General features: G+C 36.4%; 1 protein-coding gene across 57 annotated transcripts in view; it reads left to right on the top strand.

Annotated features, from left to right (window-relative positions):
* INPP4B (inositol polyphosphate-4-phosphatase type II B) overlaps nucleotides 1–21,417 on the top strand; it is an 823,376-nt gene that overhangs the window by 495,106 nt on the left and 306,853 nt on the right. The window lies entirely within an intron of this gene.

Here is a 21,417-nt window from a genome sequence, read left to right as displayed (position 1 = left end):
TTGAACATAGATATTAAATGTAAGTAACTGTTAACTAGATATAAGATTGTTGTTAATAAAATCAATGAAAGGGTAAAAGAGAACTACAAATAATCACAGAAGTGGCAACTGTAGGATGCAGCTTCCAGCTCTAGAGGTAGGGAATAGAGAGAAGACTTTGGAGTTATTAAAACTTAGATCTTGGAGGAAAGGACTAGTAGAGCTGAAATTTATCCCACTAATGGTGAACTTGGACAAGACCCATAGACCTGAAATTCATTCTGCAGAGGGAACATGGGTCAGGCTAGCTCTAGTATCTCTGAAAGCCATGCAATAGTACTGCAAATGTTGGAAGTATTGCAAACTGGTTTCAGCTGCTATTACAGGAAGGAGCAGCTGCTCCTTGGGCAAACAAAACAGCTAGGGTGATGCTGTTAGGAATAGCAGGCAGTCAGCTAGCCCATAGGAAAACAATATTTCTTCTTTCTTCACCAGGCTTTTCAGTTTCCATCTGGGCTCCCTGTTAGAAGAGCCTAACATAGAGCCATCAGAGTCAGGATAAACATGGTTTTGAGAGTCTCAGCCATAGCATCACAATGAAGTTTACAGAATGGACAAATAGATTTGGAGCTGAGAGATAATTTCTTGCACAGCTTTATGTAAAATGCTTTCCAATGTAGACAAAAGTAAAGTATAATTTTGCAGTGTAAAGGTAGAATTTTATTTTCATTAACATTTTTGCTCTTTTAAATCTTGGAAAATAACAGTGGCTTAGACATTCTTAAATGACTTCTGTGTTGTAAAATATCTTACCAATAGCAGGGTACTTGAAATTTACACCACACGAGGCCTTTTGGTTGAGGCTCAATGGTTTATGAATAATATACTTATTCTGCTATAGTAAAGTAAGGATTAGAACATTAATGCAGAATGAGGTAAACCTAGGGGAAGGGGAAATGTGGTGAGAATTTGAATTACATTAGTATTGGTGGTGTGTAAGGAAAACTGATGTAGGTCTTAGTTTTTTGTTTTACCAAAGAAAATAATTGGAAGAATGATCACCAAGAAGAGAGAGGTTGAATATTATGCATTATACACTCTGACTTATCTTTAAATTATCATATAGAAGTGACAACTGCAACATGGACAGCAATTATTGAAGAGAAAATGGTACAACAATGATTCGATTTCTATTTTTTTGCTCAAATAAAGCAAGGACATACAATATGTTCTTGAAGTACCATTACAAATTACATCTCTGAACACTCAGAGAAAGGCTAATAGTGCAGACTGTTCTTAATAGTGGAAAGCAACATACAATTCAAGTTCTTCAGCCTCATATCTCATGGTAATTTTCTTTCTTATGTCTTATTGCATTCTAAGCGCCGAAGAGGTAGCTTTGATTGTGGTGATAATAGTCTGTGTCCTAAAGCAAGACTATTTTTAAGGCAATAGAGTACCTTTTTAGAAAACTCTTTATCTCTGTCATACATTAAAGAGAATAAACAGATATTCAGTGGTTTGATAGTGGCAGTAATGATGGATTTTTTTTTTTTTACAACTTATCTGACAGTATTGGTTTCAGAAAGATCTGGAATTACTTGAGCATAAAATTCTTGCTTTGTCTATTTTAAAAACTATAGCTGACAAATAAGCTCATGTGTGATTCTTTGATTCTTGGGGAGGGAAAGAATCTAAAGATGTGCCTTTTATGAGAACAGCTCTTGATATTACATTCAGATAGTGATTAACATTCTTCCTTTTCACAAAATTTCTGTTTCAAAGAGAAGAGTATTTTGTGGATATATAGGAAATCTTCATAAAATATTTTATTTTCATAAATTATTGATGTCAAAAAAGGCCTGTATTTTATATTAAACTGAAACATTCTTCACCTTTGCAAGAAAATGGAAAAGCTGATCAATGAGATTCTACTTACATCTAAATCATTCTCCAGTTTCAAACTATTTGCTAAGAGAGTGGTTGGACTTTGATTCTCTTAGAGGACCACTTAGTGCTAAGCTACTATAATAAAGTAGATCTTTCTTCCTAAGCATCTAACTTACAAAGAGAGAGTACTACATGCAATACAGACAAAAATGAAGCATCCCTTTTACATTATCTTTCTTTCCACTCATTTGGAAAGTAATTCATAATATTTCTTTTATCTCTCGTATATCAGTTGTCCTTATTCTCTGGGGGGAAATAAAAAGAAGTATGCTGACAATGACCTATCTTCTGTGGTGTTAAAGTTTATACAGTATCTAAGTTAAGACAGATTGCTGATAATTGACTCAAGTTAATTTATTTTAGCTTAGATTGTAAATAAATGACCATTGCCATGATGATCTTGGCTACTAAACAGACTATGTAGCAGTATCTAATAAACAGGCAAATGTGATAGAAATTTGGAAGAGAAATAAGAAATCTCTCTTTCCAAAGGAGTGTAAAAATACTGGAAAACTAACATCTGCTCCAACACTCTTCCTCATTGGTGCTGGCAAGGCTGAGCTGTAAATACCAGCTTCCCATAACATCATCCTCCAGCCCCCTGCACTGAGCTGGCTGCGAAGTGCCTGAAATCACTTTTCCCTCCAGCAGAACAGCTCCTGGGATTAGGCACTCACTGAACTTGATATCTGGGGAGTCTTATGACAGATAAGGTTTTGCTCTGATAACCTTCTGTGGCTATAGAGGGAAGGACTCTTCCTTCAAATTGTTCACTAGGGACATTTTAGACAATCATTGCTCTGAGTTGAGCCTGTTCTAGTTTGCAGCCTTGGAGCAATGTTGCTTTAGATTAATGTGTCACCAAGCTCTTATTGAGAAAGAAGTTCTTTTATTTCCTTATAGGCTGGATTTGCACTTGTCAATTGTGTGGATGAAGAAAAGAGGTTAGAGAAGGGGCCTCCCACATACTGATGATTTTTAGTGTCTCTTCACCATCTATATCTGGGGAGAATTGGAGGGGCAGGAGGGAGAAGCTGGTGCTGGAACTCAGTAATTAACCTGATTTGAGTCAGGTTTAATGACTTCTCTGTTTAAGGTAAAATATTCTGGAAAAAAATATTTTCCTTAAACAAGACCAAATAGTAAAGTGACTGAATGGTGGATGCCTTACTCCCTCAAAATGGCAAAGGTCACTGCATTTTTATCTCCTGCCAAGCCAATCAATAATGAAAGGATTGATTTAGAGGCTTGTGGAGACAGGCTCTTCAATGACCTTGTTGTAGTAGCAGGGTTAGGGTAGGGATCTACCATGCGCCCTCTTCAGCTCTAATGCCGTTGTCCACTTCACCCCTGTATCATAAGCAAAAGCTACAAGAAGCATATTATTTGCAAGATGGAGCTTATAGTTTATTTTTGTTGATGGTGGTGATTTTGTCAAAATGTGGTGATGTTTATGCAGTCACATAATGGCACTATGAATTTTGTTTTATAATTACATAGCAAAATTTATGGATGATCACATTTACATGTTCTATCACGTTTCTGACAATTATAGTTCATTGCTTCCTCATCTCTTTCCTTCAGGGTATCAGGAAATTATTGTGACTTAAAATGGGAATCTTTAGCTTTGAGGTGGGAGCAGTTTGACCCATTTCAACATTTTTATGAGAATTTGTCTCCCTTCTCTGAACCACCTCTGCTGCTATAGATGCACCTAAATTCAGAAAAAAATATTTACCTAGTGCAATCTCTATCTCATGAATGCTTTTCTTTTCAGTCTTTTATGTTATCAGAGAGATGTCTATAGAAAAGTTTACATAGAAATTATTTACTCAAATATTTTAATTAATGAATTTTTAAACTATTTTTATTGAAATTTAATTTTTATTTTGATATTTCCAAGTTGGAAATTAAATGAAAATAATAGCATCTTTTCTAATTCAGTTCAGGATCAACAGATTAACTTCACTGTGAATTTTTTGACCCCTGAGGCAAGTGTTCAAACCAGTATTGACTTGGCTTCTTCCAACCTTCATTTTATGTGTCAGCTGTGATGCAATACTTCAAGTGCTTCATAAAGATAAGGGCTGCACTTTTCCCTCAGAGCACTGGCCAAATAATAATCAGGTAATTGGAATGTATGTAGCACTTTCATCTGAAAAACTCACTCCTCAGACTTTTTTTATGTTATCCCTATTAAGAGGTTGGTTGAAGAATTTTGGGTCTGGGTGGAGGGAACATAGTAAATATTCAATAGATGTTTAATAGGTTGACATCATCTTTTATTTAAGTCTTGCTAGGTTAACTTGAAAAAAATTACTATATGAACTTACAGTTGAATGACATTAAATGTGATGAAATAAAATGAAACCAAAACTACATCTTTTTCTTATCATTTTAAAGATACGGTTGGTTATCTAGGCATCCCAACACAACACATTAGTTAACAGAGAGGTTGTTTCAACATTCTTATAAGGAAGGACTGGGCTATATCTACTCAAAGCAAAATGGAAAATTAAAGCAAATAGAGAATATCAGTATGCCTGGCATCTTCACCTATTAAATCTGGATCAGTCATGAAATTGAACTGGGTCAATAATAGGATGGCTGGTGCCACTAACCCCTAACTCCTGTGTCATCACGGAACTGGCTCTACCTCTTAGAATGTCATTATTCAACACTTTTATTCTACTCAATATTGTATCTTTATATAAAATGTTGAAAGATTCTGATTTATACCAAACATTTCAGTTATCTAGATAGTGTAGGCTTTAATTACTTAATATTTACCTAATTTGATCTATTTTACTGAGTTGTTAGAGCCATAATTGCATTTAGGAAAATTTATCTTTTTAAGTAGCTCTCAAGCCCTCTGTTTCAATTTTTTTGTAGTATTCTTTCTCTTTATTCTTGGGCATAATTTACACTTTTTGATTATCATTGTTCACCTAGATAGTACCTCTTATCTCTTATTTATTCAGATGCTATTTTGTTTTATGAAAGAGACTTTTATCTTTTTCCACATTATCAATATGTCACTTTTTCTAGTCTAATTTCATTTCTCTTATTTCTTGTTATTTCATATTTGAAAATATTTTGCCTCTTTGATTTCCTTTCTAAGCCTTCTTGTTCCCAAAGTCTCCTTAAACTATGCAGTGATAGACAGCAAGAGTCAAAAAGAAGAAAAGTGAAATGGAATAAAGCTAATGACCAGTTTATCTTAAGTTTTGATGCTTGGATTTAATTACAAGCCCACAGGGAAGATCCTCTTGGAAACGAATGAGAATGTGTTGTTAATGTTTTAGTTCATAAATCCCTAGGCTGCAGAGACCATGTCTACTTAAATTAAGTGCCCAGCTCAGCACCACGTAAGAGGATGATAATGATGTACAATAAATTACAGCTACTTCTACCACTGTGTGTTCCTTTCTACAATGCCACTTCCTTGTTGTTGTGACTATATATGCATGTCTTAATGAGAAAGATTTGCAACTGCCTGTTTATATCAGCAAACTGAGGTGGACAGCTGGGACAAAAAAACAGTTTATCCAAAAACTGCCACAATTAATGAAAAAGAGAAGATCTAGAAGCCATTTTTTCAAAAGTTCATTTACTGGGGTAAGAGTACACTGATGAAGGTGAAATACTAGCAATTATAGGGAAATGGACAATTATCAGCCCTACATGCATGTAAGCATAAACCCTCTATTTTCTTTTATTATTCTGGTCCTTTTGATCATTGTTAAATTAAGTCAAATGTTAATTACTATAACTCTATTTTTTTGTTTTTACTCTGAAGACTGTTGGAAAATATGGGAATTAAACCACTTAACTTGAATGAAATGAATTGATGATCTAGCTCTGCTCGGATACTACGCTCTCTAATTAATGTGCTATAATCCATGTTTTGGTTTCCCACCAAGTATGTGCTTGTGTCCATGTGTACTATTCCCACTTCAAAAAACCATGCACATTGAGTGATATAACTACACCCATTTAACCACACACATGGAATTTGAGAGCTGCCTTTCATACCTCTCTGAATGCATGGTATACACATTTCTTTAATTTTGTTGTCACTGTCTTTCAAATGCTTTATTTTTCGACAGTATTTTCCCCGTGGTCTTAATTTTAAATTAGGGAACAATTATCTGATGGTGAATATAGATCCTTTTCATAAAAAAAAGCCTTCTCTTTCTAGAAATCTGTCACCTTTTATGTGTCTCATCATAGAATTTGATTAGTTATAAATGTATCTGCTGCTATATAATGTCTTTTATTTACTAAAGAATAATATCATGCCCTGTAATGCATAGATTCTTCCATAAAGATATTTTTATTGTGTATATTTCCCCAAATAAGAATGAGTTAGGTGCACTTTAAGGTTATGAAGTTGTGAATTTAAGACTGCACAGAAATAAGCAGAACCCAGCAAAGGTAGCTTAGAATAATTTGAGAAGTGCTTATGGTGCACTTCTACCCAAATCAAATGAGATGGTAGAAAACCAAGAGAACAATGTATTATTTTAAGGTATTCATTTAGAGAAAATACTGTTGTGTACTAACTACATGACACAAAATGTTTTAAAAAGTGGAAATTCAGGATCATTTTATACCTGATATATATTAATTCTTATTTTAAGTTCAGAGGTACAAGTGCAGGCTTGTTACATAGGTAAACTTGTGTCATGAGGGCTTGCTTACAGATTATTTCATCCCCCAGGTACTAAACCTATGTCCATGCATTATTTTTCCTGATCCTCTTCCTCCTCCCACTCTCCACCCTCTGATAGGCCCCTGTGTGTGTTCTCCTCTATTTGCCCATGTGTTCTTCCATATACCTTTACATTTTAAAGAAAAACGATTAGCATTTTGAGTGATGGGCCCTTATCATATTGTCAAGTAATATCTTTAAGTTCACTGAAAAGTGTACAGCTGGAAAAAGGTTGATTTTTCTTGTTGCATCTGATAACTTTTCCCATTCATGTAAATTTACACCTTATAGGAGTATATCACTGTCAACTCGGACTTTGCTGAAATACTTGAAAACAGGCATGGTGGAAAAAGGAAAACTCACCACACATACATTTTCCATTATAATGCTGATCTCTGAGGTACTAACCCTTGTAGTTTGGCTAAAGGGCCTTTAAAAACACTTTACATTAAAATATACACATAGCATAAAATTTTATTTTAAAAATATACATATGTCCACAGCTTCCCTTGTTTAACAGCCTGCATCTGGCTACGGCACCCTGCTTCTAAGGAGACTAATGCTCTCTTCCATGTGCAAAGATATCTCTTATTTCTGTGGTTATTTCTCTTTAAATCCGTGCTCTTCTTCACAAAAGAGCAGGACTATTTTAGATGGTATGAATGGATTCAAACTAATTTATAGCTATTATTAGAAAGATAACCAAAACACATTCAATATTAAAAGTGGCTGAATGGTGACATCTTGAATGCACAGGAAATCTCAATGATAATAACTGTTATTATAGTTTAGCTTATTACTTAGCAAAAGTGATACTTAGTGAGCTATTTATGGTCCAGAAATGATAATATTAATATTTGTGCTAATTTTGTGTTGAATTTATATAGTGGCTTACTGGTTTCAATGTGCTTTCACATATATTATCACTTCTGATCCCCTAAACAAAGGAGTGGTGTAAAAAATGGTTTTTCTATTTTACTAGAAACTAAAAAGGGTCAAAGAGATTTAGTGGTTTGACTAAAGTTACGATTAGTTAGTGGCTGAGTTATCACTAATAGCTAACTATTAAACTTCATTAGCATTCCAGTTGATGAGGAGGAAAATAAATCAGAAGGTAAATAAAAGTAATCATAAAAGGGATGATTTTGAGCTATTGGTCATTAGTCTGTTAGATCAGCTAGGATTTCTGATTATGGAATTCATGTAAAAAGAAAAAACAGGCAAAATTGCAATTCTCCATTTTGGTAAAAGACCAATTTAAATTAGTTTGATTTATTAGAAACTCTCGGGGTTTTTTTTTTTAAGCCTTAACAGGTATAGAAATTTATGTGAATTCAGAGGCAAAGAATATTCTTATGATCCATTAGATAAATGCCCTATATCTATCTACTCCTTCATCTCTAGAGAATCAATATCTTTGTCACTACAGTATACAAAATCCACCCCTTAGAATGCTTTGTGTAGTCTACTCAGTCCTTGAGACCCCTGGTAATTTACCAGTCAGAATATCAATTTCAGTGGGACCTCTTTGCTCCACAGGAATGAACTGAGACCATAAAATTGTTTTACATCAGCTCCTATGCTGGTAATATTCAAATGTCTTCTAATTAGCATGTTTGAGTTGACAGCACATAAATGAAATCCTTTATCTTCTTTTTGATGATGATTCTTATACTGAAATTGGAGGATGGATGAAATTTTAGTTTTCTCTTAATGATGTTGATTTGTACTTGATTCACTTGAAGTACTAGTCATTCTTTGCTTTGCATTTCTCCACTAATAACAGGGTTTCTATCCAAATTTCTTTATGATAGCATTCACTTACAAAAATGGTTTATAGAACCTTTGGAATGAGGCCACTAACTATTCCAGTTTTAAACGCATCCACATAAGTAATAATTTATTCAGTATTGGTACTTGCTTTTTATTGGTAATTAAAATGATCTGAAATCAAAATGAGAGTAATAAATAAAGCTCCGTTTCAGAGATTAAGGCAGTAAACAAGATAGTTCAGACTGCTATTAAGGAACATGAATGCTTTTTTGGGAAAATTTCTTTATACAAAATTTATGAAGTCTATTTTGAAATTGTTACATATTATGAAAATGCTTGCATTCTGATAGTTCTCTGTTATTTTAATTTAACTCCTTGTGAAAATATGCAACAATTCTTGTATTCTGGAACAAGAGGCAATCTTGTTTCTGGTGTGGCTGAAGCTAAGATTCTTTACCTGAAAATATATTTCTCCATCCTCAACATAAAGTGCTGCTAAGAGAAACTGAATACCTAAGAGTTGAGAGATTGGGGAAAGTAGGTGGAGAGGGCTTGCAAAGGTAAGGGGAGGGTACTCAATATTAATTTCTTTTATTTCTCAATTTTGTTTAGGACTGGGCCAAAAATTAGATGTAGTAAAATTAAATTGTGTCAAGTTTGTGGTTAACCAGTACTCTATTTGATTGTATATTAATGATTAACACTAATAAAACTCACTTTTTTCTGAGGCAATTATTTGTATTTACTCTTCCAAGATTTAACTGTTTAATATGGTAGTGTACTGTAATACAATTACTACCAATTTCCTAGTGCTTTCCATGAACCAGGTCCTGGGCTGTATGTATGTAGTGCATTTAAATGCTCGCAACTACTCTGGGAGGCTCTATTATTTTTATTTTACCCAAAAGGAATCTGAGGATTAGAGAAATTATAACAAATTACCACAAATTTAGTAGCTTAACACAACATATATGTATTACCTCACAGCTTCTCTGGGCCAGGACTTAGTCTTAGCACAGTCCTCTGCCCAGAGTCTCACAAGGCTATAGTCAAGGTGTTGAACGGGCTATGTTCTCATCTGGAGGCTTAACTGGGGAAGAATCTGTTTCATTGATCACTCCCCTTATTGGCAAGATTCAGCTCTTTTTGGCTGTATGACTGAAGACTCCAGATTTCTGCTAGCTTTTGACTCGTCTCAGATCCTGGAGGCCACCTGCAATTTCTTGCCATATGACCCACTCCAGAATGGCTACTTACTATATCAAGTCCATAAGTACCAGTTTGCTGGCACTAGTCTGCTAAAACAGAATCTTATGTAATGGAATATAATCGCAAGGTGACATCCTATCACCTTTGCCATTTAATATAAACATCATGAGAGTAACATCCTATGACCTTCGCCATAGTCTAGGTTAGAAGTAAATCACAGGTCTTGCCTACCCTCAAGGCCAGGAAATTATACAAAACGGGAACACTGGGTATGGGGTTGCCGGGGGAGTCATGAGAGCCACCCTAAGATCTCTCTGCTGTATTAAGTAAATTAACCAAAGTCACACAGCTGCTATGATTCACAGCTAAATGTTACTCAAATGCCTATGTATTAACCACTGTATTTTTTCATCTCAACAGAATGCAAATATAACTTTATGTCTGTGCATACGTTGCTAGGTTTTTTTAAGTATAACTTAAGTGATATAATTTTTATATATAGAAACTTTGTTTATTCTAATTTACCCCTTAAAATATGTGCATGTTGCATCATGTCTGTTTAGAAACATAATAACCATAATGTCAAATTAGACATCAAATGGCATTTACATAAAGAGGTTCACTTTTGCTTTATATAAAATGTTCAGTGAAGTCAAAGGAGAGATGAAAGTGTCAATTCCAATCCAATAAGCATATTTTTATATTCACTATAAGTGCATTGGAAACTGTGTTGTGTTCTTCTGTTAAAAAGTTTAACTTAATTGTTATCATCATAGTGTCCAGTAGAATAATGGCAAATGCATTATGAGATGCCCTTTAAGTTCCTGGAGAATGATGTGGCTATGAAGTTTAAGCTCTCTAGGTCCTTTCTCAGAACCAGATATGATAAAACAACAGATCTACAGTTTTTTTTCTCCAGATGGTACTTAAAGACCTGTTAGAAAAAGCTCCTCTATGATTTTTTTTGCCTACTCTAGAGGCCTGCTCTAGGGGCTTTAATTTCTTCCTCTTTAGTCATGTCACTGATTACCCATAGAGGGGAAGAATAAAGCCGAGGTTCCTCCCCACTGGCAGGCTAACGAGAAGGACCCTGGCTGGTTATGGTGGCTCATGCCTGTAATCCCAGTACTTTGGGAAGCTGAGGCAGGAGGATTGATTGAGCCCAGGAGTTCAAGACCAGCCTGGGCGACATAGTGAGAATCTGCCTCTACAAAACAATTTTTTAAAAAATTAGCTGGGCATGGTGGCACACATCTATAGTCCTGGCTTCTAGGGAGGCTGAGGTGGGAGGATCCCTTGAGCCCCGGAGTTGGAGGCAAAAATGAGCCATGATTGTGCCACTATACTCCAGCCTGGGTGACAGAAAGAGACCCTGTCTCTAAAAATTTTAAAGAGAAAAAAAAGAAAGAAGTACGTTATATGGCATCATGTTTTTTAAAAGGGGAACGTTGTTACACAGTGAAGAAAAATGGCTGGCTCTCATCTCCACAATTGCCTCTGCTACCTGCTACAGCATCTAGTAAGATGGGGAGCAAGAGATCCTAAAACTAAGCATTTCTGACTTTTTCATGTGGAAATTAGGCCACCTTTTCTATCAATGAACAGATGGAGAGGCCTCCATGGTTATTTCCCTCCCAAGAGACACCTTATGTATTTCTAGTGAATAATTTCAGTTAGTAATTGCTCTCCATGCGATGTGCTTTTAGTGGTATTAAATATACCCCAGTTTGGAGAGACTTTCATTTCTGTAATATGAAAACAACACAGCTTTTCCTTTAGAAGACAGTCTTGTAGCTTAGAAATAAAAAAAAATCTTTCTTTGTAGCCCCCTGAGGTATATCTATTCATGTTGCTAACTATAATTTGTTCCTTTTTTCAGTTTAATAATTGCTTTTTAGTTTTGTGTGAGCTACAAATAAGAGGAGATACTTATTATTTTTAATACTACATCAAAGCATGAGAAAATAAGAGATCTATACAATGAGGAATAGATGAATAAGCATCAAAACTGCCTTTTTTTCTTAGGGAGAGAGAAAAAAATGGTAAGGGAGAAAAATTCTGAATGAAGTTCAGAGTCAAGCATTCATTGGGTCACTTGAGACATAATTCACTTTTCTGTACAAAATAATGTCTCCTTTCAGATTTAAAATGTGGTAGTGAAAATGAATGAACAAGAGGGTGCTAAACATTATTGTGTGAGGGACGTGCTTTCCACCAGACCCCTGAATGCTATTCAGCTGGCAGACAATGATTGGGGTCTACAACCTAATCCTGGTAAAAAGAACCTATCCTTTTAAAGGGAAGAATAATTGTGTTCTTTATTACTTTTCATATTTCCAGGGCCCAACATAATTTTTATACTTCCTGATTATATTCTCTGAGCTCTATAGAAAAAGAGTACTTGTGCTTCTATGTGCTTTGTATATGAGCCTAGGAAAGCAGCACTTACAATAATCTACCTTAATGCTTTGTTTTGCTTCTCCTTTTGCACACAAGCATGGCTATTAAGTCTGTATCAGTCAGAGTCCCAGTAGCAAACAGACGGCACTTGCAAATTAGGATAATTCCAGGAGGGTTTATTTACAAAGGGACTGTTTGCAAAGTAGAACCACAAAGAATAGTGCAGTAACCTGGTTTAATATTGGTAGAGGTATTATCACTCCTAGGTCTAAAAGGAAAGGGAGGGAAGAGTTTCCAGAAAACTGAGAGAACTGAGTAGAGAAGGCCAGCTTGGTCAAGAGACACAGGTTCTTGACACAACTAGTCAGAAGCTACCCAGCAGGAAGACAGCAAAGGGCAGGTATGTTCCGACCTCCTTCTCCCCTCCTGGACCCTCCGTTCTCCCCTCCTGGACCCTCTGTTCTCCTGCTGGGACCTACACTGTGGAAACTCAACTGAAAGTCAGAGGACAAGGAAGCCTGTTGAGGTAGTTCACAGAGCCCGTGCTCCAGTGGCAGAAGGCAAGATGGAAAAGGGTGGAGTGTGGGATCTGAAGGAACAAGTAGAAGAGCGCTTGGCTCATTTGGCACCAATTCCAATATGTGAAAATTAGAACCAGGAAATGAAAGTCTTTAATGGCTTGTGATAATCATAAGAGATAAAAATATATAGATAGCATATTTAGTACACATGAGGAGTTTAGGCTTTGAGAACCTTGCTTTATTGAATCTGAAAGGCAGGAAAAACAAAAGCCAACTCACCCATTAGTTGGGCTTATGTCAAGGTAGATGAGCAGATTTCCATATAGCAGCAATATTATTGTTTTTAAAAGTTGCCTGGTGGCTCACGCCTGTAATCCCAGCACTTTGGGAGGCCGAGGCGGGCAGATCACGAGGTCAGGAGATCGAGACCATCCTAGCTAAAAAGGTGAAACCCCATCTCTACTAAAAATACAAAAAAAAATTAGCTAAGTGTGGTGGCGGGCGCCTGTAGTCCCAGCCACTCGGGAGGCTGAGGCAGGAGAATGGTGTGAACCCACGAGGCGGAGCTTGCAGTGAGCCTAGATGGCACCACTGAACTCCAGCCTGGGCCACAGAGCAAGACTCCATCTGAAAAATAAAATAAAATAAAGTTGCCAAGTACACTTGGATAGGCTAGTCTGTCATATGGCACTTAATCACATAATTTTTTAAAGTCAATTTGTTACATATACATCAGTACTAGGTATAGGGGTTCTGTGTAAGGGAAAGTTTCAGACACATACCAAGAGTATTAAAAGCATTTGCAAAGCAATACAGGCAATTCTGGATTGATATAGTTGAAATCAGATATGTAAGTGCTGACAAATCACTTCTAGAGTGCAAAATTGGTATAATGATATTAGGTACATTTTCAAGAAGTAGTCTCTTAAAGATATACAATTATATACTCCTTTTTCCCCTCACTTTGTCATACTGCTTTCAAATATGAATGTCTAAGAGACGTGAAAAAGACACCATAAAAAGAGACAAGTTGTAGAGAGAGGAAGAAATATGCAACACATATAAATTGCAAAGAACTAAGATTCATTATATACATAAACTATATAAATATATATATAAAATATATATAAAATATATAATATATATAAATATATATAAAATATATATTATATATAATATACATAAAATAATATATATAATATATATATAATGAATAAAGGATGCCTACAAATTAAGATGAGATAAATAACTATAGGAAAAAAAAAGAACAGAACATTTGAACCAGCACTTTGCCAAAGAGAAAAATCAAATGGCCAGTAAACATTTGGGAATCGACCTCATTAATAATCAGATAATTATTAATTAATAATACAGTGATATATAATTACATATCAATGGTTGGTAAAAACTCAACATCTAACAATTTCAAGTATAGATAAGGATGTAAAACTTTCTTATGGTTCAAGGGTAAATAATATAACCATTTTGAAAAACAGTTTTGCATTCCAGCCCAGTTATAGATGTAATCTCTAAAGATGCAGCAATTATTCTCTAGGGTCTGTACCCTAGAAAGTGATTTACACATGGTCTCCAGATACACATGCAAGAATTTCATAGCAGCAGTTCACTGCAGCTAATAAATGACAATAACCTAAATAACCATCAAGAGGAATAGGGATAAATTGTAGTACAGTCAGGCAATGAATTACTATCTGACAATGAAAATAAATGTACTTTAGCTGTATGCAACAACATGGATAAATCTAAAAGAAATTGAGTTAACAAAGAAAGGCAAAGGAATATATATAGTATTTATGTATTTTACATAAAGTTGAAATGTAGAGAAAAAGAAAACCCACACTGTTGTGTTTAGTGGTTCATTATTTGGTGGTAATACTCTAAGGAAAAGAAAAATTATTACAAAAGGACAATGATTGTCTCTAGTGGAGAATACTGGGGTTGTATTAGGAGAAAGTCTCAGAAAAGAGGTTTTCTAGTTTGCCAATCAAGTTGCATTTTTTTCTAAAGGAAATGTTGACACAGGATCCTTTCAGTGCCACTTGGCCAACCAGAAATCTCTGTGGCTGGCCAGTGGCGCCTCTGCCTGGGGCCTTGTTCAGCTCTGTGCTCACTGCTGGGCTTTCTCTGCCCACTTGGCCTGCTGCAGCCCGTGACTGGGCCCAACGTGCTACAATTGGCTTCCGCCTTGGGCACCAGCATCTGGACGAGGAGGGGAATCACAGCCATGCCCAAAACTCAAGAGATTCCAGCAACTGCGAAGCCCCAGGGGGTGTTATTTCTCTCTCTTCTTCCCCCAACCCCTGGTGTGGCAAATAGTGGGGGCATATTACAGCTTGTTCATGTTACAGCTCACGTTTGTTCCTGCCTCCTGCAGGGCAGTGAACAGAAACGTGTTTGGTCCCGCCACCCGTGGCTTGGCGGATAGGGGCATGTTACAGCTCTGGCTCAAGGAGTCCTAAGGTCTGGGCCTCCAGAAGTGTGACTGCTCTTTTTGCTCCCTCTGCCTGCAGCACAGTGAACAGAGGTGTGTGGCCCCCAGCGGTATTTTCTCCCCCACTACCCCTCAAGTGGGAGGGAGGGTTACAGTATTACAGCTCCTTTTGTTCCTGCCATGTGGCAGGTTCCAGGCTCTTGTCTCATATCCAAGAGGAATGAGGTACATGGACAACAGAGAGTGAGCAAGGCAGAGAAGAATTTTATTAAGCAACAGAAGAAAAGCTGTCAGTGGGGAGGGAACCCGAGAGTGGGTAGCCCTCTGTGTGAGAGGGAGCCCAAAAGCAGATAGTCCAATGGGTAGCTGAGTCTGGGGTTTTTATGGGATCAGAATGGAGGAATGCATGCTGATTGGTCCATGGGCAGGCCTGGAAAAAGCACCATTTGATTGTCTAAGAGACACCACGGAAGTTCTCACTAGGTCGTGGACTGTACCAGAACCTCAGCCTGGTTTTCAGGCTTCAGGCTGTCTTTTTGCTTAAGTTTGGGTTTCACTGGTGACCTGCCCTTGTCTGGCGAGGAATTTGTCTGTCTCCTGCCACTATCAGTGGTTACACATTGGTGTTACTTTGTGTTTATTCATTAAACTCTACCTATGTGAGTATGCAGGTTTCTTTCTGATAAAAATAAATCAACCATTTTTAAAAGTCAACTGACTAAAAGTTAACTGACTTTCCTCTATGTTCTGCCCTTTGATGATTGACTCTGCCTATCTCCTAAGGGTGCTTAGTGTCACTGTTTTTAAATTTCAGATTGCATTTTATTATTTGAGAATCTAGCTGTAAGTAATTTAACAGGAAATGTGAATATATGTAAATATCCATTAGACTTGCACCAGTATTTCTTCCCCTCTGGTACTTAGGAAGCAAAGACATCCTTAAGGTATACATGGGAGATTTGGGGTTATGAGGAGTAAAATAAATGCTGGTATTAATGGCTAAATTCTAAAAGATAAGATAATTGAGGGAGTATAATGAAAAGTAAACCCAAGGTATTTTGGACTAGAAAAATAACAGGACCAGAACTGACGTTAGAGAAGAAAAGCATCCTCCACCCCAAGTAAATATTAGGAATCAGTTAACTAGATTTTTGTTGTTGTTGTTGTTATTGCAAGTTTTAATCTGAGTCACTATTAATAAAGAAAATGGGAGAAGTGAAGAAGCTCTCATGGAAATGGTGAAATTCCTTTCTTTTTATAACTCCTCCAGCTGCTTTGGGAATTTGTGGATACTCAGACTTTTTTTTTTTTTTTTTTTTTTTTCATTTTTCCCAGGAAGTAGCAGACAGAGCATTAAGCAGCCTGCTGAGTTATAGGCTTTATTCTTAGGAGGTCTTAGAAGGCCAGAATTCTAGCTGGCTTTCAGGGGAGTGTTTGCCCCAGATGTAGATGCTCCCTAATAGATTTATCCTTTCACTATTTAAAAGTAGCTCACCATCAACACATGAAAAGGCAACCTATAGAACTGGAAAAATATTTGCAAACCATGTATCTGATAAGTGGCTAATATATAAAATATGTAAAGAACAACTCAATAGCAAAACAATAAAAAATAAAAAACAACAACAACAAATAATTCAGTTCAAGAAAGGGCAAAGGACCCGAACAGACATTTATCCAAAGAAGACATAGAAATGGCCAAAGGTATAGAAAAAATTGCCTAGCTTCACTGACAACAGGGAAATGCAAATTAAATCCACAATGAGATATTACCTCACACCTGTTAAATTGGCTATTATCAAAAAGACATGAGATAACAAGTGTTGGCAAGGGTGTGGAGAATAGGGAACCCTGTGTACTCTTACTGGGAATATAAATTGGCCAGCCAATATGGAAAACAGTATGGGGGTTCCTCAAAAATTTAAAAATAGAACTACCATATGACCCAGCAATTCCACTTCTGGGTATATATCCAAAGGGAACAAAGTCAGTATCTCAAGGAGATCTCTTCATGCCCATGTTCATTGCAGCATTATTCACAATACCCAAAACCCAAGACAGGGAAACAATCCGAGTATCCTCTGATGGATGAATTAATAAGGAAATTGTGAGAGAGCTATATACACATATGTACACATACATACAAGTATATGTATTTGTGTGTATCATACAAGTATATGTATGTGTGTATATGTGCGTGTATACATATATATGGTGAAATATTATTCAGGCAAAGAAAAGTAAGAAATTCTGTCATTTGCAACAAAATGGATGAACCTTGAGGGCATTATGCTAAGTCAGACAGAGAAAGACAAATACTTTATGTTCTCACATGCGGAATCTAAAAAAGTCAAACTCATAGAAACAGAACAGAATTAGAATGGTATTTGGCAGGGGCTGAGGGGAGGAGGAAATGGGAAGATGATGATCAAAGGGTACAGACTTTCAGTTATAAATAAGTTCTGGGGATCAAATGTGCAGCATAGTGAAAATAGCTAACAATACTATATTGTATAATTAAATGTTATTAGGAGAGTAGATCTTGAATGCTCTCATCGCACACACAAAAAGGTAACTAAGGTGATGGACAGGTTAAATAGCTGGTTCGTGGTAATCATTGCACAGTGTATACATACATCAAAACCTCAAGTTGTGCACAGTAACTGTATTTAATTTTTATTGTCAATTATACCTCAATAAAGCTGGAAAAAAAATGAACTCATTGGACCAACTGAGTTAATGTAGTCCAATACAAAAAAAACAAAAATAAAAAATAGTTGAATTCAGTACCTGTAATAAAGACAAGACCATCCAGTTAACTTACACTGTTGAATTATATGATATTTATCTACAAGTCTTTCTTTCCTTGTATATATGAGAACCCTATTTTGCTATAACATCATAACATATAGGTAATATATTGTAACAAAATATACTATTATTTTTCCTTTTTAATTTCTGCAAAACAGAATATGAGAGATAAAAGCGAGAAAGGAAAGATTTGGTCTTTTAGAAAACATTCCTTCGTTTTCAACGAATGCATCAATTGTTTCAGGCTTCTCTGACTTTAATGTACTTAGGGATCACCTAAGGATTTTATGAAATGAGGATTCTAATTCTGAATTCTAATCCAGTGGTCTGGGGCAGGACTTAAGAGTCTGCATTACTAACAAGCTCCCAAATGATTCCAGTGCTGCTGATACAACAATCTCGTTTTAAGGATCAGGAAAAGAGAGAACAAAGCATATGACCCCAACTAATTAAACCAGACAAGACTCACGTGGCCCCTGCTCAGCACCTGTGATCGGAGTGGGTCCTAGATTGGCTCTTCCATGTAATCTGTCTCTGTTTTATATATTTTCATTGCAATTGCATGTCTGCGGTTTTAGAAGGTTTTTTTTTTGTTTTTTTTTTTTTTTTTGAGACGGAGTCTTGCTCTGTCGCCCAGGCTGGAGTGCAGTGGCGCGATCTCGGCTTACTACAAGCTCCGCCTCCTGGGTTCACGCCATTCTCCTGCCTCAGCCTCCCACGTAGCTGGGACTATAGGCACCCGCCACCACGCCTGGCCTTTTTTTTTTTTTTTTAATTTTTAGTAGAGACGGGATTTCGCCTTGTTAGCCAGGTTGGTCTCGATCTCCTGACCTCGTGATCAGCCCTTCTTGGCCTCCCAAAGTGCTGGGATTACAGGCGTGAGCCACTGCGCAGGGCCCCATTTTAGAAGGTTTTAAACAAGAAAGCATTGTCTAGGCACAGATCTGTTATGATCTAATTGTGAGACTTGGGACCAGTCATTTAACCACCAATAGCCTCAGTTTTCTTAACTTTACATGAAAATGGTTAAATTAAATTACTTTTAAAGGTTTATCTAGCTCAAACACCCCTTTTCCTTTTTTAAGCAACTTTTTTTTTAACTATATATGCTTTTTTTTCCCCCTTTAATAAGTGTACTCATTTCTCAAGGACATTGAGAACTATTTCTCTCTTGCTTTATAAAAGCCTTTAATGCTTTTCTATCCCATTGCTGTTTTCATGAATATTGATATGCCCATGAAGGCTACTAACTTAATTATTATTACAAAATCTGTACTAAATGTCTAGCTGTAGTTACCTCCACCTTTGGTTTTATTTTAAACGGAAAATAAAGCCAAGAATAAAGGGTCTCATTATAGTGTCATATATTTTTTCTTTTTTAAAAAATAAAATCATCTGAGGTCCCTGAAACATGGTATAATATAAGCACAGATTGTCATGTTAAATAGCTTGGTTTGGAATAAGCTATGAAATAAAAATTATGCAAGACAGCTGTACTAAAAATTAGCTTTTCTTAAGAAGGCTACATTGTCTGTATGGAAAATACACTTAAGGAAACCTCTATTGGCTTAATTGGAGCACATTTTTAAAATTCCTTAATGGATGATTTTCCAAGTTTAGACTTCAACACAGAAACCCTGGTTATGAGCCTATTTATGGGTCAGGGGATGCACTGACAACCTTAGGTTTTCCCCCTCCACCCCCCACCCCCCCAGCTTTGTGGTACATTCTGTAAGAGTACTTTTCTAAACATTGCCTCATAATATGATCTGTGGCCTGTAAGGATCACAATTAGAAGCTCCAAAGATAGAGAAAATTTTGAAGCATTCAGCACTAGCTGCCAGGGCACTTAAAACTGACCCTGGAGCACAAATATGTCATGAGACTGATTCTGGTAAACCAGATTCTTGGCGTGCATCTTTCCCATGGCCAAAGTTTCCATTGGTTTTAAAATAATTCCTTAGCAATTACTGGGAATCTGATCGAATAGATAGTGCTTGTTACCTCTCAAACAAATACGTAAATTCTATTAAGCTGAAGCCTAATTAAAATCATTGATTTCAGAGACACGGTTTTATCATATCATCTGGCATGTGAGAGGGGGGATGATTGTATTTTCATACTATTGATTGCAATATACTTGTATTTCACGAAGATGTTTCTGGACCTGATCCCTATGCCAGTTGCAGCCAGGTTCACAGTACACGAGGATCCCAGTAGATCTGGGTCCCAAACACTTCCATGCAGTTGACTTCTCCAAAGTGATGCCACAGTGGTATGCTGGGGCCTGCTCTACTGTCCCTGGAGAGCTGATCCTACATGTCCCTTTCCAATTCTGTGGTCAGCGATCTCAAGCTAGTAGCTGGAAATGGGCCAGGTGGGAGTGTTTACGCCACAGAAATTGCTTGCACTATGAATGGTAGCTTCCTCCATCCTTGTCCTTTAAAAGCCAATTGTTAGTTATCTGCACACCACTCTTCTTAAAGACAAAATACCCATCCCACTTAGATTAAATCCCTTGAATTTCCTTGCCTGTGGTTTTATTTGGTCTGTGCAAATAAAGAGCAACATTATCTGAAAATGTTTTTAAGTTTATTTGTGACAGCATCAAAGAAAAATTCACTTTAAGAAGTGAAAAAAATGAAAGTACAACTTTTGATAGGACAAATTTATGAAAATACTGCTTGCTTCTCTTGTTCCTGTGAATGGACATTGCTTAGTGCACTTAGATTTAAGTAGTTTCCTCTAAAATGCCTGAACCCATTAGCTCCAATTTAGTTCACTTCTTTAAGCCCCGAGGCAGCAAGAATACTGAGTGTAAACCCACTTTACGCACAAAACATACATTATAAATGACAAATACATTCCAACTGTTAAGAATTTTAAATGTTAAAATTCAAGGTTTCAAATGTAGTTTCCCTGAGACACTAAAGTCCTTAAACATCCCAGGTGATGTATTTTAAAATCTTTTGAATGGCTTAAGGGAACAGGAACATTTTGACATTTGTTGAAGAGTTATCATTTAATGGAATTGAATTGCTTCACTGAATATGTGTGTGTGTGCGTGCGCGTGTATGTGTGTGCGTGTGTGCACATATGCGTGTGTGTATGCATCCCTGGTTCTGACAGGCAGTTTACTTTGTAAAACAGAAAAACTGATAAGAAAGTAAAAGACCCATCTCACAGGCAGTTACCACTCTTGCTCCAGTGCAGATGAAGAATGTTTCACAACTTTAACTTAAAAAACCCAGAGATGGATTTTCAAGATATTTTAATCCAGGCCCAATGATATCCAAAATTATACCCAGATAGAAAGATACTTCTCAAAATTCCTGTTAATAGGCCTCTTGGTGCTAGAAAGAAGGGGTTTGTTTTAAAATTAAAGGGGCTCTTCTATTTTGTATTCTTCCACACATGCATCATTATTTGCTCTTCATGGGTCTTTGAATCATTGCTTGCTGATATGATTCAAATGCAGATAAGTAACAATGAAGATATTTTCTATATACTGCTGCCACAAGTGCCTGCCAGAAGAGCTGAAGCCATCCATAAACAATTTTATTCATAGAGCTTTCATTAGTAATTACAATTCTGTTATTATCACTCAG

Source organism: Homo sapiens, chromosome 4, assembly GCF_000001405.40.
Source record: "Homo sapiens chromosome 4, GRCh38.p14 Primary Assembly".
NCBI classification, from domain to species: domain Eukaryota; kingdom Metazoa; phylum Chordata; class Mammalia; order Primates; family Hominidae; genus Homo; species Homo sapiens.
The sequence above is the reverse complement of the archived record's forward strand: the minus strand, read 5'-3'. Positions and strand labels throughout refer to the sequence as shown.